Source organism: Homo sapiens, chromosome 1 (genome assembly GCF_000001405.40).
Source record: "Homo sapiens chromosome 1, GRCh38.p14 Primary Assembly".
Classification (NCBI taxonomy): domain Eukaryota; kingdom Metazoa; phylum Chordata; class Mammalia; order Primates; family Hominidae; genus Homo; species Homo sapiens.
Window position 1 is genome coordinate 35,961,747 of NC_000001.11, and position 27,821 is coordinate 35,989,567.

At 36.4% G+C, this 27,821-nt stretch overlaps 1 protein-coding gene across 8 annotated transcripts in view; it reads left to right on the plus strand.

Moving 5' to 3' along the window:
• The window catches only part of AGO3 (argonaute RISC catalytic component 3), a 141,783-nt gene that overhangs the window by 31,029 nt on the left and 82,933 nt on the right, over window positions 1–27,821 (plus strand). For 4 of the 8 annotated variants that reach the window (XM_017000523.3, XM_005270575.5, NM_024852.4 and 1 more), the window contains 3 exons: window positions 5,209–5,329; window positions 10,278–10,486; window positions 11,629–11,765. In XM_017000523.3, the coding sequence (XP_016856012.1) occupies window positions 5,209–5,329; window positions 10,278–10,486; window positions 11,629–11,765 (467 nt within the window). Of the gene's footprint in view, window positions 1–5,208; window positions 5,330–10,277; window positions 10,487–11,628; window positions 11,766–20,911; window positions 20,967–21,797; window positions 22,808–27,821 lie in introns of those variants that run through there. The other 4 variants (NM_177422.3, XM_017000526.3, XM_017000524.3 and 1 more) reach the window with 4 other exon arrangements.

A 27,821-nucleotide genomic window follows, 5' to 3' on the forward strand; every position in this document is an offset into this window, starting at 1 on the left:
ATGGTGGGATAGTTACCTGCCTTATTAAGTGGATTATCTGAGTACTTAAATATATGCAACCTCAGTTTTTTACTTTTGAGGAAGCTACATCATACTGTTAGCTCATTTGGGGCTTGTACCCTTTTCCACAGCAGCAGTGGGTAAGTTGAGATTCTCTAATTTGTTCTTATTACAGTTGAAGTGTTTGGACGTTAAGTGTTTAGGTATTACAGTTACCCTTATTATGTTTCTTCTTTATTTTGTTCATTGTTGTAGTTGTTAGTAGCTTTTAACATAGTAATTTATGTTTTTAACATGCTAGTCATGTCTTCCAAGTATGTGTTGTTAGAGGTTTCTTAACCAACAGATATTTATTAATTACTTACTATATGTAGGGCACTAGATATGTTTCCTTTCCATATGGTATTGATAGTTTTCTAAGGTGGAAAATTATTCCAGTGTTCAAGTATACTTAGAAAAAGTAGGGAAACTTACCCTGCCCCATAATAAACACTCTAGTGAAAACATACGTTACTGGCCAGGCGCCGTGGCTCACACCTGTAATCCCAGCACTTTGGGAGGCCAAGGCGGGTGGATCACGAGGTCAGGAGATCGAGACCATCCTGGCTAACACGGTGAAACCCCATCTCTACTAAAAATACAAAAAATTAGCCAGGCATGGTGGCGGGTGCCTGTAGTCCCAGCTACTCGGGAGGCTGAGGCAGGAGAATAGTGTGAACCCAGGAGGGGGAGCTTGCAGTGAGCCGAGATCACGCCACTGCACTCCAGCCTGGGTGACAGAGCGAGACTCCCTCTCAAAAAAAAAAAAAAAGAGAAAGAAAGAAAACATCTTGTACTGGCACAAGAACAGACAAACAGAACACTGGGACAGTATAGAGAACTCAGATTGATTTATATATGGGAAGTGAATGAGATAAAAATGCCATTACAAATTGATTAGTTAAGTATAAGCCGTTTAGTAGGTGGCATGAAGAAACCTGCTCACTAGATGGAGATAAATAAAATTGGGTCCTTGCTGTTTATAAAGAAGAACCAAAAAATGTAGACAAAACTGTAAAGTTAATAAAACATAATTTATCTTTTTGACTTTGTATTAGGAAAGTATTTCTTAATACCTCAAAAGCTTGAAGTCATAAGGTGAAATTTAATTTGATGATGTTCTCAAATTCATTAGTAATAAGAGAAATCTAAATTAAAACATGCTTTTAGTTTATACCGATTAGGCTAACAAAAATTAGAAAGCAGAACTGGATAATGCCACATATTGGCTGGACGCAGGGAAATAGGAGCCTCAAGGAGTGCAGGTTAGTGTAGTCATTCTTGAGAACAATTTGGCAGTACATCATTTACTTGATAAGATTCATTTTGACCTAACAGTCTGTTTCTGTGTCTGTAAGCAGAGATTAATTCTCACATGGGTTCATAAGGGGACATGTAAGGAGATAATTCATTTCAACATTGTTTTTGGGTGTTGCAATTAAAGATACTGTGAATCTGCAATGCTGGGGGAGTGGATAGACAACATGTGGAGTACTTTGCATCAATCAGAAACAATGAACCAAGTCACTGAAATTGTATACAACCAATTTTTTACAGATAAATCTTTTAAAAATAATAAAAATAAATATACCATAATAAATATACCACAGCAACGTGAATAGGTTTTAAAACATCTAATGCAGAGGGTAAAAGTAGGTATACATAGAAATAGAAGAATGTTCATCAAACAAATTAGAAGAATAACTTCTTGGGAAGGGGAATGGGGTTAGGAAATGGAGATGGAAAGAAAATCAGTTAGAAGAGGGATATTATACAGATGATGATAACACACCATGAACTGAGGAGTATGATTAAATTTTTTGTACCCAAGGAATAAAAATGGGGCTTGGGAAATTATTTAACAGTGAATGTAAATTGGGTTGGAGTAAAAAAAAAACTATGAACATAAAAAAGAAAAACTTAAAATAATCCAGGTACAAGGACATGAGGCTTTTCTTTAGGATTGTGGTAATCGGGAATGGAAAGTAAAGGACTAGTATAAGAAATACTGCAAAGACGTGGTGTCAACAACCAGTTGGGTGAAGAGATGAGCCAAGTTTTGAATCTGGGTAACTGGGAAGATGGAGATACTATTAATTAAAGAGGAGTAGCAAACAGAAGATAACCACATGTAACTCTGACAAGATGTGTTGAATTCAGCTCTAGATATATTCCATTGGAAGTTCCAGCATTTCACTGAGGTAGTTATTCACTGTTAGAGCATTTATTGAGGATATACTATGTGTTAGGCATCAAAGCAGGATATATATATATATTTTGCCAAAATTGTAGCAAAAATTGTATATGTGTATGTATATATCCTGCTTTGATATATAAGTATACATTTATATATGAACATATATATGTATTTAAGTTCAGAGGTATATGTACAGGTTTGTTATATAGGTAAATTTGTGTCATGGGTTTATTGTCACCCAGGTATTAAGCCTAGTACCCATTAGTTATTTTTCCTGATACTCTCCCTCCTCCTACCCTCTACCCTCTGGTAGACCCCAGTGTCTATAGTTCTCCTCTATGGGTCCATATGTTCTCATCATTTAGCTCCCACTTATTAAGTGAGAGCATGCAGTATTTGGGTTTCTATTCCTGTGTTAGTTTGCTAAGGATAACGGCCTCTAGCTCCATACATGTTCTGCAGAGTACATGATCTTGTTCTTTTTTATGACTGCATAGTATTCCATGGTGTATATGTACCACATTTTCTTTATCCAGTGTACCATTGATGGGCATTTAGGTTGATTCCATGTCTTTGCTATTGTGAATAGTGCTGCAGTGAACATACACATGCATGTGTCTTTATGATAGAACAATTTATATTTCTTTGGATATATACCTAGTAATGGGATTGCTGGGTTAAATGGTAGTTCTCTTTTTACGTCTTTGAGGAATTGCCACACTGCTTTCCACAATGGTTGAACTAATTTACACTCTCACCAACAGTGTATAAACATTCCATTTTCTCCACAACCTTGCCAACGTCTGTTATTTTTTGACTTTTTAATAGTAGCCATTCTGACTGGCATGAGATGGTATCTCATTGTGGTTTTGATTCGTATTTCTCTAATGATCAATAATATTGAGCATTTTTTCATATGCTTGTTGGCTGCATGTATGTCTTCTTTTGAAGTGTCTGTTCATGTCATTTGCCCACTTGTTAATGGGTTTTTTTTTTCTTGTAACTCTGTTTAAGTTAAAGCAGGATATTTTTTATTCCTAAGATGTTTTGGCCCTGGTATTTCAGTCTCCTCCATTTTGATCCTTAGAGTGATTTGATTGGGTTTCCCAGAATTCGTAAGGTTGAAATTATACCAGTTTACTGTTGAGTTAAAAAAAAAAATGACAAAATGGTTAAAACATCCCAACAAATTAGATCTGTAAAATTTCACCTAAGAAACCAGATTTTGGCTGGGCGCAGTGGCTCATGCCTCTAATCCCAGCACTTTAGGAGGCCGAGGCGGGCGGATCACCAGGTCAGGAGTTCGAGACCAGCCTGGCCAACATGGTGAAACCCTGTCTCTACTAAAAATACAAAACTTAGCTGGACGTGATGGTGCATGCCTGTAATCTCAGCTACTTGGGAGGCTGAGGCAGGAGAATTGCTGGAACCTGGGAGGCGGAGGTAGCAGTGAGCCGAGATCGCACCACTGCACTCCATCCTGCGTGACAGAGCAAGACGCTGTCTCAAAAAAAAAAAAAAAAAAAGAAAAAGAAAGAAACCAGATTTAGTAATAGTGGCCACAAAGGAAAACTTAAAATGGCAGAGAATCATTGAAATTTGCTTTGAACTAAAAAATGAATAGGTGAATCAAATTTTTGTTGTAAAATTTACTCTAGAAGAGGCTTGATACTGTTTTCAGTAGTTTCAGTAAAACAAAATTGAAAAGGGAGGGAAAAAATAGAAACTTTGTGCCATGTAGAAAATCGCTCTGGGTATCCAGTCAGCTTGATGTTTTTATTGTTCCAGAAAATGCTGGGTTCTTGCCCCCACTTAACTGAGGTAGACTTGAATCTCTCTTTTTTTTTTTTTTTTTTTTTTGAGACAGAGTTTTGCTCTTGTTGCCCAGGCTGGAGTTCAATGGCGTGATCTCGGCTCACCACAACCTCTGCCTTCTGGGTTCAAGCAATTCTCCTGCCTCAGCCTCCCAAGTAGCTGAGACTACAGGCATGCGCCACTGTACCCGGCTAATTTTGAATTTTTAGTAGAGACAGGGTTTCTCCATGTTGGTCAGGGTGGTCTCAAACTCCCGACCTCAGGTGATCCACCTGCCTTGGCCTCCCAAAGTGCTGGGATTACAGGCGTAAGCCACTGTGCCTGGCCTTGAATCTTTTAAATTAGTTTTAGATTATATCAATACTATGTGAGTACATTCTCATTGTAATATATTTAGATTTTATAAACAAAATAAAAGTGACCCTGTAATCCTGTCACTTCCCTCTCTAGAGGTAACCACCATTTGGAATATATCCTTTCAGTTTCTCTGCTTTTACAAATGTGTGTACAAAAAATACGTATTGATTTGTGAAAATTTGGTATTTCCTATATAGTCTGTAAGTTTTGAATATATAAGTATTGAATATCTTTCTGTGTCAGTTACATTGGCTCAGATGTTTGCTGGGTAAAAATGGAGGTTTTATAATATCCTTACTAGCTAGGTACTGTAAGGATGGGAGGAGAAAGGAACACAGGTATGTTTGCTGCTCTCAGGAGGCTCACAGTTAGAAGAATTGAAAATATATAATCATTATAATAGACAAAGTGTCCTAATAGAGATATGTACTAGGTGTCTTCTTGGTACAGAGGAAAGATTACTCTTGGAGAAAGAAGTTAATATGTTAGGGAGTGCTTAGAGATGGTAAAAGAGATTTTGAATCACTTTCTAAGAATATTTTGCAGGTCAGATGTATCCTGGAATGATTAAGTAATATGCTCGCTTCATTCTTCTCTGTCTAGTGAAATGTATGTCATCTTTTGGCAATAATCAATCTTTTTGGTGTCTTAAGCCAAGATTCTAAAAGCAAAATCTTTATCATATATGAATATTTTTTAGAATTTTGACAGCTTTATACAGTGGCAGAAATTACTTCTGTTAATATTTTTATATTTCATCTTACAGAGGATTATGTGAATATATTGTTTCCCTTCTTTAGGGAGGTGGTTGACTCAATGGTTCAGCATTTTAAAGTAACTATATTTGGAGACCGTAGACCAGTTTATGATGGAAAAAGAAGTCTTTACACCGCCAATCCACTTCCTGTGGCAACTACAGGGGTAAGATATGCATTCCTGTATTGGAAAGGTATATTTTTGAAGTGTCTCCTTTTACACGCATTTATTACCATTTTTATTACAGTCCATATATATGTGAATATTTATCACTGATTGTTTTTAACTTTTTGTTTTGAAATAATTTCAAACTTAAAGAAAAGTTGCAGGAATCATGCAGAGAACTCTCATACACCCTTTATGTAGCTTCACTGAGGTTCTGAACATTTCCACCTTTGTTTTATTTTTTTTCTTTCTCTCTTGTACATACATACTTATTTTTTCCTGAACCATTCACAAGTAGGTTGCACATACCATGCCCCATTAATATTTATTTTATTTTATTTTATTTTATTTTATTTTGAGACAGGGTCTCGCTTTGTCACCTAGGTTGGAGTGCAGTAGTGTGATCTCGGCTCACTGCAACCTCTGCCTCCCAGATTCAAGTGATTCTTGTACCTCAGCGTCCTGAGTAGCTGGGATTACAGGCACGTGCTACCACTCTTGGCTAATTTTTTTGTGTTTGTAGTAGAGATGGGGTTTCGCCATGTTGGCCAGACTGGTCTCAAACTTCTGACCTCAAGTAATCCACCCAGCTCAACCTCCCAAAGTTCTGGGATTTTGGGAGTACCACTGCACTCTGCCAGTATTTAATACTTTAATGTATATTCCTAAGAACAATGATAAAAACCCTTGTACAGTTATCAAGTTCATTAAATTTAACATTGATATGATACTTTTATTTAATCAACAATACAAATTCCAGTTTTACCAGTTTTTCCAATGATGCCCTTTAGTATTATTTTTCTCCTCTGTTACAGAATCCAGTCCAGGATCATGATATAGATACCATGTCGTTCTTTCCCCAGCCTTTTTTTATCCTTCATGACAGTAACGTAGTTGAAGATTATCGGTAAATTATTTTGTAGAATGTCCTTCAGTCTGGGTTTGTCTGATACTTCCCCTTGATTACATTCTGGTTATGCATTATTGGCAGGAATATTATATAACCATTCTTTCCTTATCAGTGCATCATATCAGGAAGCACGCAGTATGTATTTGTTCCATTATTGGTGATTATTGGTGATGTTAACTTTGGTCAGTTGATTAAATTGGTGTCTGCCAGTTTTCTCCTATTGGGGTATTCTTTTCCTCCTTGTAGTTAATAAGCATCTTGTAGGGAGATTCTTTTTGTAATTGTGATAAAACATATGTAACATAAAATTTACCGTCTTAACCATTTTTAAGGTATATTTCAGTGGTATTAAGCACATTTACATTGTTATATAATTATTACCACCTTCCATCCCCAGAATTGTCTTTATCTTTCAAAACTGAAACTCCATATCCATTAAACAGTATCCATTGCTCCCTCCCCTCAGCCCTGGCAACCACCATAGTACTTTCTGTCTCTGAATTTGACTATTCTAGGTACCTCATGTAAGTGAAATCATAGATTGTTTGTCTTTTTATGACTGGCTTATTTCACAATTTATCCACATTGTTTCATGTGTTAGAATCTCCTTTTCAAGGCTGAATAATATTCCATTGTATGTATGTAACACATTTTGTTAATCCCTTCATGCATCAATGGACACCTTTTGGCTATTGCAAATAATCCTGCTATGAACATAGATGTAAAAGTATTGAACTCTGCTTTCGGTTCTTTGGATATATACCCAGAAGTAAATTTGCCAGGTCATGTGATAATTATTAATTTTCTGAGAATCTGCTGTATTGTTTTCCAGAATGGCTCCATCATTTTACATTCCCACCAACAGTGAACAAGAGTTCCAAACTCTCACTTCCATGCCAACACTTGTTTTCTGTTTTGTTTTTTTTTTTGTTCGTTTTCTAATAGTAACCATCCTAATGGGCGTGAGATGATATCTCATTGTGGTTTTGATTTGCATGTCCCCCAACAATTAGTGATGTTGAGTATAACTTTGTAGGCTTATTGGCCATTTGTATATCTTCTTTGGAGAAATCTGTGGTCAAGTTGTTTGCCCATTTTTTGAACTGGGTTGTTTGTTTTGGGTTTTGGGCAGTGAGTTGTAGGAGTTCTTTATTTTTAGATTTTTTATTTTTTTTAGCTAAACTGATCAATACCATTGTAGGAGTTCTTTATATATATTCTGGATATTAACTTCTGTATTCTGGATATTAACTATATATATTCTGGACATTAACTTCTTATCAGATATATAATTTGCAAACATTTTCTTACATTTCACAGGTTGTCTTTTCACTATGTTGTGTCCGTTGATACACAGAAGTTTTTAATTTTGAAATGGGAGATACTTTTAAGGATCCTGTTGCTCATTGGATTTTGATTATTCTTGCTTGGCAATTGATTATTCTTGCTTGAAAGGATTATTACTATGTAGAAGTGGTGATTTTCTAATTCTGTCATTCATTCTCCGTATGTTCATTAATCTGCTGTAAGGGAGTATATTTTCTTTTACTCTATTTATTGATTTCACTGCCCAGATTGTCCCAGATTTGGCCAGTGGGAACTCTTTTAAGCTGACTCCTGTGTCCTTTTGAAATGACACTTTTTGGGGAATACAATCCTGCATCACCTAAAACAATGGGGATATGCTCTGCGAAATGTGTCCTTGGGCAATTTTGTCATTGTGCTATCATCACAGTGTATACTTACGCAAACCTGAATGGTATAGCTTACTACACACATACACCATATAATATGGTTTATTATTGCTATAAACCTATATAGGATGTTACTATACCGAATACTGTAGGCACTTGTAAGACAATGGTAAATATTTGTGTATCTAAACGTATCTAACTATAGAAAAGGTACAGTAAAAATACATTGTAAAAGATTGTTTAAATGGTACGCCTGTATAAGGCAGCTTCATTATAATCTAATGGGACCACCGTGTATATGGGGTCCATTGTGGACCAAAAATCATTATGTGGTGCATGACTCTACTTCATTACTTTCTGGCACAGGATGTTCCTGGTTTATTTTATGTTTTCTCTGCTGCAGTCCTGCAACTAACCATTTCTCTGAGGATCTCTGGTTTCTTTTAGTTGGCAAATGCAATTTTGAAATGAAAATCTGGGTACTGGTATGTTCACAGCTGCTGGGGTATATGTGCTTCTAAGCCCTTTCAATGGATAGAGGTAGGAAATTTATAAATAAGTAGATAAATAAATAAAACGGACAATAAAAACATATTACACTTTGTATGGTAAATCTAACACATATATATAGGAAATCGTGAGTTCACACCCGATTCTTCCAATTCTAGTCCGTGCCTCATGGGATTCTTCCTTTCCTCACTCCATTTCATATTTGTATCTTTCTTCTTTAGTTAGATTCCTGGCTCCTCAAAACATCACCACTCCTTCTCATTTGCTCAGTCCTACAGTACATATAAAATAGTTTGTGAGAAAACAAACCTACTAATGATTCAAGGCTTTATTTTGTATGCAATTCTTCTAAATCCACCCTTTCTCTACCCCTAGAATTAAGACTATTGTCAGTATACATACTGTGTTCAAGAGTTACTTGAATTAGAGCTTCCTTTTTCTTTTTTTTCAATGTGGTTATGTTATTTATTTGAAATTTATTTGGGTTCATTTGATTCTGTTTATGATATTCTGTTTTAATTTTTTCCCTCCCTCCCTTTGTTTATTTATTTATTTATTTAGACAGGGTCTTGCTCTGTAACCCAGGCTGGAGTTCATTGGCACACTCACAGCTCACTGCAGCCTCAACCTCTCAGGCTCAAACGATCCTACTGCCTCAGCCTCTCAAGCAGCTAGGACCACAGGTGTGCACCACCACACCTGGCTAATTTAATTTTTTGTAGAGACTAGGTCTTGCTCTGTTGCCTGGGTTGGTTTAAAATTCCCTGGCTCAAGCAGTCCTCCTGCCTCAGCGTCCCAAAGTGCTGGGATTACAGGAGTAAGCCACCATACCCAGCCTAAATATATATATATATATTTTTTATTATAAATATATAAATTATAAATAATATATAAATTTATATTATAAATTATAAATAATATATAAATTTATATTATAAATTATAAATTTATAAATATATAATATATATTTATTTTATTTATTTATTTTTTTTTTGAGCCTCACTCTGTTGCCCACGCTGGAGCACAGTGGTGTGATCTTGGCTCACTGCACCCTCTGCCTCCTGAGTTCAAATGATTCTCGTGCCTCAGCCTCCCGAGTAGCTGGGATTACAGGCATGCACCACCACACCCAGCTAATTTTGTATTTTTAGTAGAGACAGGGTTTCACCATGTTGGCCAAGCTGGTCTTGAACTCCTGACCTCAAGTGATCAGCCTGCCTCAGCCCCCCAAAGTGCTGGGATTACATGCATGAGCCACTGCGCCTGGCCTTTTTTTTTTCTTTTTTTTAATATGTAGAACTTTAATATGCTTCCAAATTTCAAAAGTATACCAAAACATATACTCAGAATTGTTCTGTCCTTATTTTTTCCAGTCCATTCCCTCCCATCCTTTGAAAGTAACTAGTTTCTTTGTTTCTGGTTCATGCTTCCTGTGTTTCTTTTTGCAGAAGTAAGCAGATATGTGAATATTTTCCTCCTTTCTTACACAAAAGATGTCATAATATTTGTAATCTTTTGTACTTTGCTTTTGTCACTTAATAGTATAGCTTGGAAATTTATTCCATGGCAGTTTCAAGAGATTTTCCTCATTCTTTTTTCATAGCCGCATAGATGTTGGAGCATTTAGGGTAGTTTCCAGTATTTTGCAATGACACATAATGCTGGCACGAGTAACTATGTTATTTAAATTTTATCTACAAAAAAAAATGGTATATTTTAGTCTATTGACTTTATTTTTGCCATGTTTTCTCTTAGATATTTTTATAAGTTAAATCTAAAATAATTGTATTTATCTTTTTCAACATTTACCAGTTGACTCTTTTCCCATCAACAGGTAGATTTAGACGTTACTTTACCTGGGGAAGGTGGAAAAGATCGACCTTTCAAGGTGTCAATCAAATTTGTCTCTCGGGTGAGTTGGCACCTACTGCATGAAGTACTGACAGGACGGACCTTGCCTGAGCCACTGGAATTAGACAAGCCAATCAGCACTAACCCTGTCCATGCCGTTGATGTGGTGCTACGACATCTGCCCTCCATGAAGTGGGTGCTTCTGCTTTTTTTCTCTTTAGATTTTAAACTCCCAAGAATGAATTGTGCAGGCTTCCCTTGGTTAAACCTTTATTTGTCATATATTTTGATTGTTCAACTGAAATGTTGAACAAGAATAGCATCCATACAAATTCATTGACAGGAGTACGTTACAGAAAATTATCTGGCTTTTGCAAGTAACTATACGTCATTAGCTTAGCTAGTCTCATGAATAATTTTATAGAAAAATATCTCACCCTTTCTCTTAGGATCTAAAAGTCTTAACAGATCTATTTTCAGATGTATTTATTTAGTTATCTTGTTTTAAAAGTAATTTCACTGTTTATACAACAATATCAAATTGTGTTGAATTGCTTTTTTTCAATAACCCTAGGACCTCACATGTGTAGGGTATGCTCCTGTGTGTGAGCGCATGTGTACCCGTGTATTTTTTATTGTTTGGTTGGGTTTTTTTTGAGACATGGTCTCACTCTGTCACCCAGGCTGTAGTGCAGTGGCACAATCATGGTTCACTGCAGCCTCAACCTCCCAGGCCTAAGCAATCCTCCTACCTCAGCCTTCTGAGTAGCTGGGACCACAGGTATGCACCATCATGCCTGACTAATTAAAAAAAAATTTTTTTTTTTTTTTTTTTTTGTAGAGATGGAATCTCCCTATGTTGCCCAGGCTGGTTTCAAACTCCTGGACTCAAGTAATCCTCTCACCTTAGCCTCCCAAAGTGCTCGGATTACAGGTGTGAGCCCCCACACCTGACTCAGTATGTTTTTTTTTAAAGAAAAATAGTATGTCTTGCAAACACATTTATATAAATACCTTTTTGTTCAATAATTATTTACTTGTTAACATTTTTAAGGTCGGAACTGTTAACTTTTTAAAACCTATTTTTAAGAAATTATTTTAAATAAAATTTATTCTTATTTCAACCAACAATTTTGAGAAAGGAAAATTTAAGTAGATTTTTTTCCATTTAGAGTGGATACTTTTTGCTTTCTCAAATTTGGAACATGTTTAGTTTCATATATTCATAATGATAAGCATCATTATGTTAATTGTGCTCTAGTCTCCCCTTTTCTGCAGATTTAAATACTTGCATGAGAAGGAAAGGATTGAACATGCCATTTTAATTTTTGTAGATACACACCTGTGGGGCGTTCATTTTTCTCCGCTCCAGAAGGATATGACCACCCTCTGGGAGGGGGCAGGGAAGTGTGGTTTGGATTCCATCAGTCTGTTCGGCCTGCCATGTGGAAAATGATGCTTAATATCGATGGTAAGGGAACTAAAGCCATATTCTGTATTGGGTGGTGGATTTCTGTATGATGTGTGTACATAAATTTTATATATAATTATACATACTGGTGTCTCGAAGTAATATTTGGACATGTATTATGATCTACTGGAGAAACCTTTATATTTTTATTACATTTCATTTAGAAAGCCTGTAGAATTTACCTTGGAATGCTGCTAAACATGAAGCAAGCACATGAAGACAGATTTAAAAGCCCTGATGATTATCTGAGCAATCTTCTATTATAACTCACTTTTGCCCTTTTAACTCTAAGCCAACATTTTATTATGAAATATATATTTTAAGAAAGATAATTCTGTTGGGCATGGTGACCCCCAGATGTTATACCCACTGCTGGTCTTAATGTGATGCTAATTGCATTCTTGTTTTTAGGTGTTTTCTTACAAAATATTTTCAAGCTTATGTAAAAACAGAGAGAGTAGTATTATGAACTACCACATAGGTAGCCATTACTCAGATTGTCAGAATTTTTCTACCTTTGCGTAATCCGAGTACATTTCTTCCTCTACAGTAGTGTTTTTAAATCTAATTCCAGACAGCATGTTATTTTATCCCTATTACTTCAATGTGTACCTCTAAAACTATGGATATTTTCTTATAGCAGCAATGGCATTATCATATGTAGGAAAATTATAAACAAGCATTTATTTTTACCCTCTAATACCTGTCCACAATCAGATTTCCCTGATTGTCTGAAATATGCCTTTTTCTTGTTAGCTGGTTCTAATCAGAATCCAAACAAGATCCACACATCACATTTGATTATTGTGCCTTTTGCCATCTAGTAGTCCCATTTCCTTTCCTGTTTTCTTATTTCTTTATGCCATTGACATTTTACAAAAACTGGGTCACTTGTTCTGTAGAATATGTTCAAATCTGATTTTGTCTTTTTGTTTTCTTGTGTTATTACCTTGTTCCTCTATCCCCTGTTTTTTCTGAAAATGAAAGTTAGCTTAGAAGTTTCATTCCATTCTGGTTCAAAATGCTTAAGTGCTTTATGTCGTGTCATATTAGGAAACACAGTATCTAGTGGTCCCAATTTTAGTGATTCAAAAATCAGTCTCTAGGTTCAGAGATTAATCAGTAGATTCAGAGATCTCTCCATTGTAAATTTCTTAATTAACCTTTGAATTGCTAATGTTCTGTTCACTGATCGTTGTGGCCCAAATTATTTATTTCACTAGGGATTACGAACTGGTAATTTTTCTGTTATTCTTTTTGCATTAGGTGGAATTTTTCTGTGGAAAAGCTCAGTGTCCTATTGAAAATTAGTAAATGTTTGAAAGCTTTCTTGCTTTCGGGCACAGCAGGATATTCCTTGCTCATCTTATATTTCCTGCCCAGTACCTGAAATTAGACATTCCTCCAAGGATCCCTGGATCCTTCCAGATTAGGGTATAGTTTCCTCATTTTTTCAGCTGCACCTACCATTGTGTAATATATGATTGAGGAGGGGATATATTTAACCAGTTTTCTTTAGATGTATACTAGGGTTATTTTTAACTTTTCTATTTTACATCATTTTATGTATATTAAGATAAGTCTGTAAGATACATTCCTGGCGGTTAGACTGATGAGTTAAGGGCAAATGTATTAATATTTGTAATTTGTATCATTGTTGCCAGATTGCACTCCATAGAGATAGTAAATATTTTGCATCAATGAATGAGAGTACCAGTTTCCTTATATCTTTGCCACTAGAATCATCAAACTCTTAGATTTTCTTCAATCAGATTTGCAAGAAACAGTTTTCTTGTGTCTTCTTAATTTGTATTTGACTACCTTTTCACAAATATAAGGGCCACTTGTGTTTCTTTTTTAATGAACTGTTAGTTTATATCTTTTGCCCTTTTTTTTCTATTGGATTTTTCGTCTTCTTATTTACTGAGAATGCTTTCTAAATTAAGGAAGTTAGCTGTTCATCTGTCATGAGTTGCAGATATTTTACCTAGGTTGCTATTTGTCTTTTGACCTTTGGTATTGTGATGTTTTTTTTGTTGTTGTTTTTGTTTTTGCCATGCAGAAGTTTGTTTGTATGTTGGTGTGTGCACACATACATATGTATTGGTCAGTCATTTCTTTTATGACTTTTAATATCTGATAGGACTAGTCCCATTTTTCTCTTTTCAGGGTTTTCCAGACCATTCTTATGTATAAGCTTTAGAAATTCCTTGTTTAGATCCAGTGAGTGGGAGAGGACAGATTGTTATTTTTATTGAGATCCTATTAGATTTATAAATTAAGTTAGGACAAATTGGCATATTTAAGGTGTTGTCTTTTCTGTCAAAGAATATACTATGTCTTTCTATTTGTTTAAGATTACTTTCATTTTCAAGAGATCTTAAAGCTTCACATAAATTTTGCACATTTCTTTTTTTTTTTCTTTCTTTCTTTTCTTTTTTCTTTCTTTTTTTTGAGACAGAGTTTCGCTCTGGAGTACAATGGAGTGATCTCGGCTCACAGCAACCTCCGCCTCCCAGGTTCAAGCAATTCTCATGCCTCAGCCTCCCAAGCAACTGTGATTACAGGCATGCACCACCACACCCAGCTAATTTTGTATTTTTAGTAGAGATGGGGTTTCACCATGTTGGTCAGGCTGGTCTCGAACTCCTGATTTCAGGTGGTCCACCCACCTCAGCCTCCCAGAGTGCTGGGATTACAGGCGTGAGCCACTGCACCCAGGCCATTTCTTGTTATTCCAGGATATTTTCTCCTTTTTGTTGCTATTAAATGGGTTTATAGATACTAACTGGTAATTGCTTATATATATTCAGGCTTTTGATTTCTGTATACTTTCTCTCTTTCTGTGTTATTGAATTCCATTATTGTTTGTGGTATTTTTTCAAGCGATTTTATTGGGGTTTCTAGGTTATAATCATCACCTGCAACTAGTGATAAGTTTACCTCTTCCTTTGGATTTTTATACCTCTAATTTTTTTTATCAGATTATATAGACTAATTAGACAGGGTAGGATTAAATAGTAGTGATTAATGTGCGTCCTTTTTCTTTCTTGCTCTAGAAGCATTAAGCATTGTATGTATACATTGTCATATTAAGGAATATCTGTTTCTTATTAAGTACGTTTATCAAGAGTATGTGTTAAATTTTGTCAGATGCCTTTTCAGCATCTATGGAGCTGATGATGTGATATTTCTCTTATTTTTAACAAACATTGAACCAAACCAGGACTCCTAGATTCTTTTAATTGATGCTGGATTCTGTTTGCTAATACTTTCCTTTTATAAATTAACATGCAGAAGTCATATTAATCTGCAGCCTTCCTTTTTTGTACAATCTTTGTCAAGTTTTGGTATTATTTCCTAAAAAATTCAGAAGTTTTCCATTTTCTAAAATGTATAACAGTTTTAAAATAGTATTGATATTATCAGCTCTTGTATGATTTCGTAGAATTCCCCTATAAAACCTTGTGACCTGCCGTTTTTTGTTTGGTTTGGTTTGGTTTGCTAGGTAGCTGTTTTAAAACTTCCCTCATTTATTTTGTGAAAATCAGTCTAATAATTTATCGTACAATTAAAAATAACTAAAAATATAATTGGATTGTTGGTAACATAAAGAAAGGATAAATGCTTGAGGTAATGGATACCCCATTTACCCTGATCTGATTATTATGCATTATATGCTTGTATCAAAAGCTCGTGTAACCCATAGATATATACATCTAGTATGTACCCATAAAAATTTTTTTTTAATTAAAAAAAAAAGTCTGTTCAGGCTGTTTAGGTTCACTTTTGGTAGCTCACATTTTACTGGAAAATTATTTTATTCATATGTAATTTAATTATACAGAGTTTTACAAAGTAGTTTCTATCGTTATTATGATTTTTTTTTTTTTTTTTTTGAGACAGGGTCTTGCTCTGTCACCCAGGCTGGAGTGCAGTGGTGTAATCTTGGCTCACTGCAACCTCCACCTCCCAGGGTCAAGCGATCTTCCCACTACAGCCTCCTGAGCAGCTGGGACTACAGACACATGTTACCACACCTGGCTAATTTTTGTATTTTTTGTAGAGACAAGATTTCACCATGTTGCCCAGGCTGGTCTCAAACTCCTGGTCTCAAGAGATCTGCCTGCCTTGGCCTCCCAAAGTGCTGGGATTACAGGCATGTGCCACCGTGCCCAGCTAGTTTCTATTAGTTTTTGAAATTCTGTGTATTTTTGTGGTTTTCCCAGTCTGTTATTTTGCATATGTATGCTTTGTTCTTTTTACTTTTTTTTCAGGTAGTGAAATTCAGTGGTATTTATTTTTCTCCATCTTTTTCAAGCTTTCAACAATAAGCATCTATTACTTCTTATCAAAAAACTAAAAAAAAGACGGTATGGCATCATAAATATTTATTTTAGAAAACAAAATGTATTTATTGAGTGCTTTCTGATTAAGAACAAAGTATAGTTAATGAATGCTGATTGTTTAATTAAGTAGTTTAATCCTTAACCTTTTTTCCTATGCCCTGACTTCTTTTTTGGTAACATAGTCTTCCCAATTAATGAATTACTGAAACCTATAATAAAGAATATTTTCTATTATTCTAGCTCAGGTGTATATTTAGTACTTAAACTTAAATACTTGAATCAATGAAATAAAATCTTGATGAACTCTTTCTAGAGATGTAAGGTACCCAAATTTCTTGACACAATTTTTTTTGAGTTTTGCTCTTGTCACCCAGGCTGGAGTGTAGTGGCTCGATCTCGACTCACTGCAACCTCCGCCTCCCTGGTTCAAGCGATTGTCCTGCCTCAGCCTCCCAAGTAGCTGGGATTACAGGTGCATGCCACGACACCCAGCTAATTTTTTTGTATTTTTAGTAGAGATGGGGTTTCACCATGTTGGTCAGGCTGGTCTCGAACTCCTGACCTCAGGTGATCCGCCTCCCTCCGCCTTCCCAAGTGCTGGGATTACAGGCGTGAGCCACCGCATCTGGCCTGAAAACAATTTTTTTTTTTATTAACGTTAAACTCACTAGAAAACTCTCAAGAATTGTGTTGAAGATCATTTGAAAATATATCTGCCAACTTCCTCTTCCTTCCTGAAGTGTGTTTACAGACAGAGCAAGTTACAACAGTCTTACTATTCTTTGAGGATAGAGCAGCTTCCTGGGGATTCTGGAGGCTCAGTTTTCTGGTCTGTTATTAGGACACAATACTGATGTTGAGGAAAGTAAGGCCTTGCTGACAATGGGAATTATTCTTAAAAGTTATTTTTCTATCTATTTTAGCTAGATTAGTAACATGTACTTTCATTTTGTTGGTGGAAATATTTAAAACAATTATTTTTCTGGTGATCACTGTTTTAGCCGTATTACAAAGCTTCTAATATGTAGTATTTTTATTATATTCTAGAAACTAGAAATACATAATATTATTTTCTAGAAACTCCACAAATTTCATTTGTATTTCCTCTGTGCTTGAAATATTGTTTGAGAGACTTTTCAAATTTTCAGATTGAAGATCTTTTTGTTTTCTGGATTTGTTGTGAATTTCTAGTTTCATTGTGTTGTTAAAAAATGTTGTTTGTGGCTGGGCGCGGTGGCTCATGCCTGTAATCCCAGCACTTTGGGAGGCCGAGGCGGGCGGATCACGAGGTCAGGAGATTGAGACCATCCTGGCTAACACGGTGAAACCCCATCTCTACTAAAAATACAAAAAATTAGCCGGGCGTGGTGGCGGGCATCTGTAGTCCCAGCTACTTGGGAGGCTGAGGCAGGAGAATGGCGTGAACCCAGGAGGCGGAGCTTGCAGTGAGCCGAGATCGCGCCGCTGCACCCCAGCCTTGGGACAGAATGAGACTCCTTCTCAGAAAAAAAAAAATGTGGTTTGTATTTTTCCTTTTAGAGTTTCTAGAGGTATTTTTTGTAGCCCAATATACGGTCAATTTTTGTGATAGTTCTATGGCTATATGAAAATAAGATATATTCATATATTAGTTTAGAGTGAAATATCCATCAGAGCTACCAGTTTGATTATGTTGCTTATGTCATTTATTTCCTTAGTTTTGTTTTTTGTTCTCTCAGACTAGGATAAATAAATTTCCTATTATTAATATCTTTCTGTTTCTTCTTTTATCTCCTGTAATTTCCATTTTCTGAATGTTGCTACTGTATTAGGAGCATATATATTCATATCTGTTTTCGTTATGAATTATAACCTTTATATAAGTGACTTTCTTTTTGTACTTTTTGACCAAAATTCTACATTATCTAATAAAAAGATTGCACTTCATGCTTTTGTGAACTTTATCCTATCCTTTAACTTTTTTTTTCAGGTATATCTTGATGACAGCATAGAATGGTTTGCTTTGTGGGTCAGTTTAAAGCTTTTTTTCTGTTTGGTGGATGAATTAAGCCAGATATAGATAGGAAGGACATATCTTTCTGTCAAGTCACAACCATTGGTCATGGTTTTGTAAAATTATTTTATGCCATTTTTTACATTTGTATATATTTTGAAACTTTGAGTGTTGTGTTTTCTGTGCTTTTTAAATGGTAGTCCTCATCTTAGGAAGATTTTTCCCCCCAGTGGTTATCTTTATACTTATACCTTCATATGATACCTATCTTCCTCTGTTTTAAAGCAGTCTTTTGTTTCCCTTAATTGAGTAACAATTACATTAGCTTTATTCTCTTCCCTTCTTTCTACTAGTTTTAGCCAATATAGTATTATTTTATTGCTCTTTATAATTTTATTCTGTCATGTTGCTTAAGTTTTTACTGATTGACTTTCAACTTTGACTCCTACCTGTTGCACATGAGGTGCAGTCATTGAGCTTATTCTACTTTTCATATATTCTACTCTTAACATCCATTTGTATATATTCATTGATTTGAATTCCTACATTCTTAGACCATGTAACAGTTTCATTCCATTTGTTTTCAATCTTAAATCTGCAATTAAATGTATTGTTGCTCACTGCCAGTCCTTTTGCTGAAATTTTTCTGGTCATTTGTTGGTTTCAGTTTGTCCTCAAGTTGTTTCTTCAAGAAATGCTCATATGAATAAGGCCTGAGTTATCTGTAGCCTTATTCCTGAAGGACTGTTTGGCTAGATGTGGAATTGTTGGCTCACACTTTTTCCTTGAGTACCTTGTAGGTATTTTTCCACTGTCTTCTGGCATTGACTGTTCAATAGAGAAGTATGATGCCAGCTTGATTTTATTTTTCTTAGAAGGAGTGTGCTTTTTTGTGTGTGATTGCTGAAAGTATTTCTTCCAAATACCAAATAATTTAGAAATTATTTTATTAAGTGACATCAGTAAAATTACTAGATGTTTTCTTAGTTGACCATTTTGGGTCAGTTTTATATCCATCATTTTATTTACTTTTAAAAAATTTCTATCCTACATGCTTCTTACTGTGCCTTTGGTGTTGTATATTTTTACCATGTGCTCATTGCATTTTAGTCTTCATCTTTTTAATTCTTAAAATTCTTTTTCTCCCATTTCTTTTCTGAGTTCTGCCATGCTTGTTTCACTACAACTCCTGTTGACTGGTTAGTTGCTCCTTGAGTTTCTAAATTTCTCCTCTGAACTTTTTCTTCATAACTGCATTAGGAATTTTTCAGTGTGAGTAAAAAGTAGGGTTTTAATTTTCCTCTGCTTTGTGATGATATTGTCTGTTGAGTTTTCTTTGTCAGAAATGTCGCGGTGCCTTTTTACATTTTTTTCTATGGTATTATTGTATGTATACTTACCACTTTTTTGTTGCTTATATTGGCATGAGATGAGTTTCCCAAACCATCTGTTAGAAGGGACTTAAGGGTGTTAGGAACATTAGGAACACCTTCGGAGCAAGATAGTTTTCCAGGTTTCTGTGCTCAAGGCCTCTCTCCTCCATTGTTCTGGTGGACTCTTTCTTCAAAATGCAGCCACATCTCCTATGCCTCTCAGTAACTTAAGGGGTTTAAGTAATATGAACTACCAGCCATGAGTTCCCCAGGTCCTGACTAGTTCTGCTACCAAGGGATGCACCTCCTACCCTTTAAATTGCCTGCCTCAAATGTTAACAATTAAAGAATTTGTGACAGGTATACAGGAGTTTTTTGTACTATTCTTATAACTTTTCTGTAAGTTCGAAACTACTTCAAAAGAAGAAATTACAAAAGAGCATGCCTCACTTGTAAAAGGGTGGTCCTTTCTGAGATCTGTCACTTCCAAACCACCCTCCACTTATTGTTCTGCCACTTTCTACACCTCCTTTCCTTACCTCCTTCTGAGAATCCCCCATTTAATCTCAGTTCTAAACATTGTAGTTCCCGCTTGGTATAGATTCTTTTCTTTCTGGGAGTAAATATGTGCTATTCCCCCACCAGATTCCTTTATACTTCTTGTCATTCTCTCATGCTCAGATGTGGCTTCTTTTAGTCTCAAGTACTTTGGGTCATATTTACTTAGAAGTTGGCATTTTTAGGTTTTTATTATCCCCTAGTTTCACTAAAGATATATGGTATTTTTTGTTTTTAACATTGTTTTTGTTGCTCTGTACAGGTTCTAGGAGAAAGATGGGAAAATTTGGAACTAAATTGCTGTTATGTTCCTACTAGAACTTGAAGTCCAGCTTTGAAAATTATTAAGAAATAATTTCTAGGCTGGGTGTGGTAGCTCACACCTGTAATCCTAGCACTTTGGGAGGCCAAGGTGGGAGGATCACTTGAGCCTTGGAGTTTGAGACCAGCCTGGGCAACATAGTGAGACCCCATCTCTATTAAAAAATAAAGAAATGATTTCTAAATAACCCCTTGTTTAAAGAAATCACAGAGAAAATTTTGAACTGAAGGACAATGAATACAATACATATCAGAACTGGTATGATCAGCTAAAGCAATGCTTAGAGAGAATTTAAAACTTGAAATGCCGATTTTAAAAGAAAAAAGCATCAGTGACATAAGCATTCATTCTCAACAAGTTAGAAAAATCACAGAAAATTAAATGCAAAGAGAATAGAAAGAAATAAAAGATAAAAACAAATCAATGAAATAGGAAAACTTCTCTCTATCCTTTAGATAGGGATACTTCAAAGGTTTTTAAGAAGGATAGTGACATGATCATATTTGTTTTCCAGAAAGAGACCTCTGGCAGCAGTGTGGAGAATAGATAGAGGAGAAAAAACTAATCTGAGAAGCCAGTTAGGAGGCTTTTCAATCACTAGTTCAGGTAAGAGATGGTGATGGTCTAATGTGGGATGGAGAGGAAGGATTAAGCTGAAAAAATAGGTTTAAGAACCATGTCCAGAAAAAAAAAACTTTGGGTGTAGTACTGGTACATGGAACGGATTGGAAAAAAATAGACCAGAGCTTTACTAGATTTTTGAAAGAATTGTTTTTGCAAATAAACTACAAGCCTGGCATATCAGTCAAGGTTCAGAACCTAGAGAAGCAGAACCAGTACGAAGTATAGAGAGAGAGTTTATGCAATTGTAGGGGCTAGCTAGGCAAGTCTGAAATTTTGGGGGCAGGCTGTCAGGAAGGGCAGGGAAATTCAGGCATGGGCTGAAGCAGTTATCTATAAGTGGAATTTCTTGCTCTCAGGGAAGCTTCAGCCCTACTTTTAAGACCTTTCACCTAATTGAATCAGGCCCATCCACATTATTCAGGATAATCTCCATTACTTAAAGTCAACAGATTATGGATTTTAATTACATCTACAAAATACCTTCATAGCAACACCTAGATTAGTGTTTGATTAAACAAATGGCAGCTGGTAGCCTAGCAAGTTAACACATTAAAAACAACACCTGCCATGATGGCTTACACTTGTAATCCCAGCACTTTGGGAGGCCAAAGTGGGAGGATCACTTGAGATTAGGAGTTTGCGATCAGGCTGAACAACATAGTGAGACCTGATCTCTACCAAAAAAAAAAAAAAAAAAAAGAAAAAGAAAAAAATTAGCTAGGTGTGGTGCGTACTTGTAGTCCCAGCTGCTAGAGAGGCTGAGATGGGAGGGTGGCTTGAGCCCAGGATATCAAGGCTGTGGTGAGCCATGATTGTGCCACTGCATTCCAGCAGTGACAAAGCAAGGCCCCATCTCAAAAATAAATAAATAAAAAGAAAAACAACCCTCCACACCTGGTCTGAAATTTTCTGTGATTATTCAGCCCTCGAAACAACTTTCAGGTACAGTGACTGCCATAATGTAAACTGGCTCCCAAGAAGGTCATACTCTCCAATGTACATTCAGAGTACTGACTCTGAGTTTTCTGCCAGGTATGAATGGTGGTACTGTCAACTGAATATGGAGGTAGATCTGCTATTGCTGGTTAGTTGGCAGTATACACCATGTATCAATGTTAACATGTCCAAAGCTTGAGGATTCTATGGAACATATAGATAGACATATCTAGTGTATATTTAGAAATTTAGGTATGAAAATCTATAATGGTGGGAGCTGAAAGTAAGAGTGTTGGGACTCTTCAGTATGTAAATCCATATTTGAAACTATAGAAGTGGAAAAACTCTTTAGGAATAGTATTTAGATTGAAACAGGAAAGAGGAGGATAAAGCCGTCGAGGAATACTAGCATTTAAGAAAAAAAGAACTAGTGAGCAAGTAATGATTATACAAGGCAATATGAGACACCAAATATGATGTCAAAAAAGCCAAGAGGGGAAACATATCCAAAAAATAAATGAGCTGGGCACAGGGGCTCACGCCTGTAGTCCCAGCTACTTGGGAGGCTAAGGCAGGAGGATAGCCTAAGCCCCAGGAGTTGCAGGCTGCAGTGAGCTGTAATTGAGCCACTGTACTCCAGCCTGGGCAACAGAGTGAGACCCCTATCTCTAAAAAAAGAAACAAAAAGTAGATGATTTCACAGTTAAACAATGAGAGCTTTTTCAATAAAATCAAGAGACAAGGATATCAGTGCTATGATTTTTAGTCACTATTGTGTTTGCTAACTTCTGTTCTTCTTACAGGTTTCAGTCTACATGTTACTTCCTTGAGAAGCAGTGTTTGACACCCTTCTCCCCCAATCCAGCCATCCCCCAAGTCTGAGTTAGGTATTTCTCTTCTGTATTCCCATAGCACAGTGTAATTCCCCTATAATAGCATGTATCACCTTGAATTATGGGTGTTTATTGTTCTGTCTCTCCTGTTAGAACGAAAGCTCCATGAAGGGATTGTCATTTTATTCACCAGTGTACCCTCTATGCCCAGCACAACTTTTGGTCATATTAAACAAAGAATGAATAAATAAATCCAAGAGCATAGGAGGAGGAGCATCCAAATGAGCCTGAAAAATTAGAGAAATATTTGTAGTAGTATGTGATATCTTAGCTGAGCTTAACAAGTATAATGAGATCAAGAGTTTGGATTGAAAATGAGGTACTCAGGAATAAACGATTTCTGAGGTCTCTAAGATATTATAAAACTTTATTGAAAGATCTAAGAAAATTTAATGAAACACATTGTCCTTATTAATCTATAAATATAGTTTTAATTAAAATTCCAATAGGGGGCCAGGTACGGTGGGTATGCCAGTATTTCCAGCACATTGGGAGGCCAAGGTGGGAGGATTGCTTGAGCCTGGGAGTTCTGACCAACATGGTGAAACCCTATTGCTAAAAAAAGACAAAAAAATTAGCCAGGCGTAGAGGTGTGTGACTGTAGTCCCAGCTACTCAAGAGGCTCAGTTGGGAGAATCGCTTGAGCCCAGAAGTCGAGGCTGCAGTGAACTGTGATCTCACCACTGTACTCCAGCCTGGGCAACAGAATTAGAACCTGTCTCAAAAAACAAATAAAATAAAATTCCAATAGGGTATAGTATAACACTTGATAAGTCGATATTAAGATTTATATGGAAGAATAAGTGACTAAGAAAAACCAATAGAATTTTAAAGAAAAATAAAGCAGAAATTGCCCTACTTCCTATAAAACTGTAACAGTTATACCACATGGCTTCAGGTGCAGGAACAGGCAGATTAATGAAGCAGAGTCTAGAAACGAGCCACATATGTGTTTATGGAAACTGTAAATATCTGATGTAGTGTTTCAGATCAGTAGGGAAAGAGTAGAATATTTAATAAATTGTGTTTACACAGTTTAACTTTAAAAAAATTAGATCCATCTTACATTAGACACAAAATTTATTTCTAGGTGAATTATATCCCAAATATGAAAAGCAAATCTTCAAAATTCTTTTAGGATAAAAATGAGAGAATGTTCCTAACACCAAACAAAGTACAAAGTATAAACTGCAAAGGAAAATACTGATAAACTTGACCAAAATTTAAAACTTGTGTATCGCAAAAGAAACAATAAAGTTAAAAACATTAGAAAATTTGTAACTCATATAACTGAGAACTTTACAAAATATAAGAACAGATAAATTGAAAAATAGGTAGTTCTCAAAATAGGAAATGCATATAGCCAGTAAACACATGAAAAGATTCTCATTCATTAATAATCAAGAACTTGCAAGTGAAATCAGTGTTACCATTTTCTACGCATCAGATTTGTAAAATTAAAAAGCCTTATGATTTGCAAAAAGTGCAAGGTGAAAAGAAAAATCTTATGAAATACCAAATGTTGGTGAGGATGAAGTAAAAGGAACTCTCACACATTGTTTGTAGTAGTACCATTTGGTACAACTACCCCGGAGAGCAATTCTCAACTAGAAGAGATGAAGTAAAGATGAAATTGCATAACTTAAAACCCATAAAGAGATATCTTGCATGTGTGCTTGAAACATTATATGTAATAGCAGAAAATTGGAAACAGCCTAAATTCCTGTCAGTAGCAGAATGAATAAACAGCACGTAAATAGTTACATAATATTGTGGTGTACTACATAACAGTTAAATAAATGAACCAGATCTATATGTATCAATGTGAATTATTAAAATAATGTTGTACCCAGACATCATGGCTCATGCCTATAATCCCAGCACTTTGGGAGGCAGAGGCCTTCGGATCATATGAGGCCAGGAGTTCAAGACCAGCCTGGTCCACATGGTAAAACCCCATCTCTACGTAAAATACAAACATTAGCCAGGTGTGGTAGTGCACGTCTATAATCCCAGCTACTTGGGGGTTGAGGCATGAGAATCACTTGAACCCAGGAGGTGGAGGTTGCAGTGAGCTGAGATCACACCTCTGTACTCCAGTCTAGGCAACAGACTGAGACTCTGCCTCAGAAAAGAAAAAAGAAAAAAAAAATGGGCTGGGCCTAGTGGCTCAGACCTGTAATCCCAGCACTTTGGGAGGCCAAGGTGGGTGGATCACTTGAGGTCAGGAGTTCGAGACCAGCCTGGCCAACATGGCTTAACCCTGTCTCTACTAAACATACAGAAATTAACCAGGCGTGATGGTGCACATCTGTAATCCCAGCTACTTAGGAGGCTGAGGCAGGAGAATCACTTGAACCCAGAAGGCAGAAGTTGCAGTGAGCTGAGATTGCACCACTGTATTCCAGCCTGGGCGACAGAGTAAGACTCCGTCTCAAAAAAAAAAAAAGGAAAGAAAATGTTGGGGGTGAGTAAACAGCAAAAGGGGCTAGGCACGGTGGCTCATGCCTGTAACCCTAGCACTTCGGGAGGCCAAGGCAGGTGGATCACTTGAGGTCAGGAGTTCAAGACTAGCTTGGCCATCATGGTGAAACCCCATCTCTACTAAAAATATAAAAATCAGCCAGACGTGGTGGCACGCACCTGTAGTCCCAGCTACTCGGGAGGCTGAGGCAGGAGAATCAGTTGAACCCAGGAGGCAGAGGTTGCAGCGAGCCGAGATCATGCCACTGCGCTCCAGCCTGGGCGACAGAACAAGATTCTGTCTCAGAAAAAAAAAAAAAATTAGCCTGGCATGGTGGCGTGTGCCTGTAATCCCAGCTACTAGGGAGGCTGAGGCAGGAGAATTTCTTGAACCCAGGAGACGGAGGTTGCAGTGAGCCGAGATCACGCCACTGCACTCCAGCCTGGGCAACAGAGTAAGACTCTGTTTCAAAAAAAAAGCAAAAGGATATGTTATTATTTATATAAACTTAGAACAAAAGTATGTACTAGGTACATACAAATAAAGTAAAATTATAAAACAGATGGGACAAATACACACCAATTTCAAGATTTTGGATCCTTTTAGGAAGAAAAAAGAGAAATGGAATAAGGTGCCTGGGTTGGGAGAAGAGATAGACCAAAAAAATTTAAGAAAAATGTGAGAGTATGTTTATGTGAGCAAAGTATAACGTGCCATTGGGAGGCAAAAAAATAAGATTGATTAAAAAAAAAAAAAGACCTATGGGCCAGGCGTGGTAGCTCACACCTGTAATCCCAGCACTTTGGAAGGCCTAGGTGGGCAGATCACGAGGTCAGGAGTTCGAGACCAGCCTGACCAACATGGTGAAACCCCGTCTCTACTAAAAATACAAAAATCAGCTGGGCATGGTGGCGCACACCTGTAATCCCAGCTACTCAGGAGGCTAAGGCAGGAGAATCGCTTGAACCCGGGAGGCGGAGGTTGCAGTGAGCCGAGATCTTGCCACTGTACTCCAGCCTGGGTGACAGAGCAAGACTCTGTCTCAAAGAAGAAAAAAAAGAAAAAGACCTATGGTAACTTAATGAAATGGAAATAAAGCCTAACATTTGAAGTTGGTTTATTTTCTCCCCAGCTAATGTATTCAGGTATGATTAACAAGTAAAAGTTACATGTATTTGAGGTATACAGTGTGATTTTTGATAATACATATGCATTGTGAAATGATTACCACAATCAAGGTAATGAATATAACAATCACCTCATAGGTATGTGAGAGACATAAGAACATGAAATTTACTCTCAGCGTATTTCAAGTATACAATAATAATTATAGTCACCATGCAGTACATTAGGTCTCCAGAACTTACTCATCTTATAACTGAAAGTTTCTATGCTTTGACCAACATCTCACCATTTGCCTCAGCCCTCAGCCCTGGGTAACTACCATTCTAACCTCTGTTTCTGTGAGTTGAGCTTTCTTAGATTCCACATGTGAGATCATACAGTATTTGTCTTTCTGTGTCTTGCTTATTTTATTTAACATAATATCCTCCAGGTTCATCCATGTTGTCACAAATGACAAGACTTCCTTCTTTTAAAGGCTAAATAATATTCCATTTTATGTATATACCACATTCTTTTTATCCATTTGTCTGTCGATGGTCGCTTAGGTTGTTTCCATATCTTGGCTGTTGTGAATAATGCTGCAGTGAACATGGGAGTGCAGGGGTCTCCTTGAGATAGTGATTTTATTTACTTTGCATGTAGTCCCTGAAGTGGGATTGCTAGATCATGTAGTAGTTCTATTTTTAATTTTTTGAGGAACCTCCATACTGTTTTCCATAAAGGCTGCAACAAGGGTTTATTAATTGCCAATAAAATGCTATGAAAAATAATGAGAAATATTGCACTGACCATCTTACTTGCTTACATTTCCTTTTTGCTTTTGCGTGATTTTGATTTTGCAAGCCTTGTACGTGGTATATGCACTGAACTAAACAGCCTTTATTGAACTTGAAATCAGCTGGAGAAGACTGGTAATTGAGCACTATAATAAGTACTGTAAAGGAAAATACCAAGTGCAATGGAAGCATAAAAGGGAGGGATCCATTGTAGTCTCACTGGTTGAGGGATGTTTCCCTCAGGAAATGACAGATGGGAGCTAGGCGAAATTGGTGATGGAAATAAGCATGGAAGAGTACTCTAAGAAAGGGAGCAATTCTCTCTAATTGTGTGATTGGTCTTGAGAATGATTGTTCTATTGGCATTTAATAGCCTAACTTTCAACTGTGTAATTAAACTTGCTGTATTTTACCAATCTAAGACTCAAAATTTTTTGTTTACATTTCAACATCTCTGAAATTGGGAGATATCTTACAATTGATGGTTTGTCACAGTTCAGTTGGCAGGTTTCTTTTTAAAGAATACATAAAATACTGGTGCAGCTTACCATCAATGGCATCTTAGATTTGATGAAATGAAGAATATTTCTTTAGCTTGTTTTGAGGCCAGCCCATTTGCAACTTGCATTTTATTATTGTAATT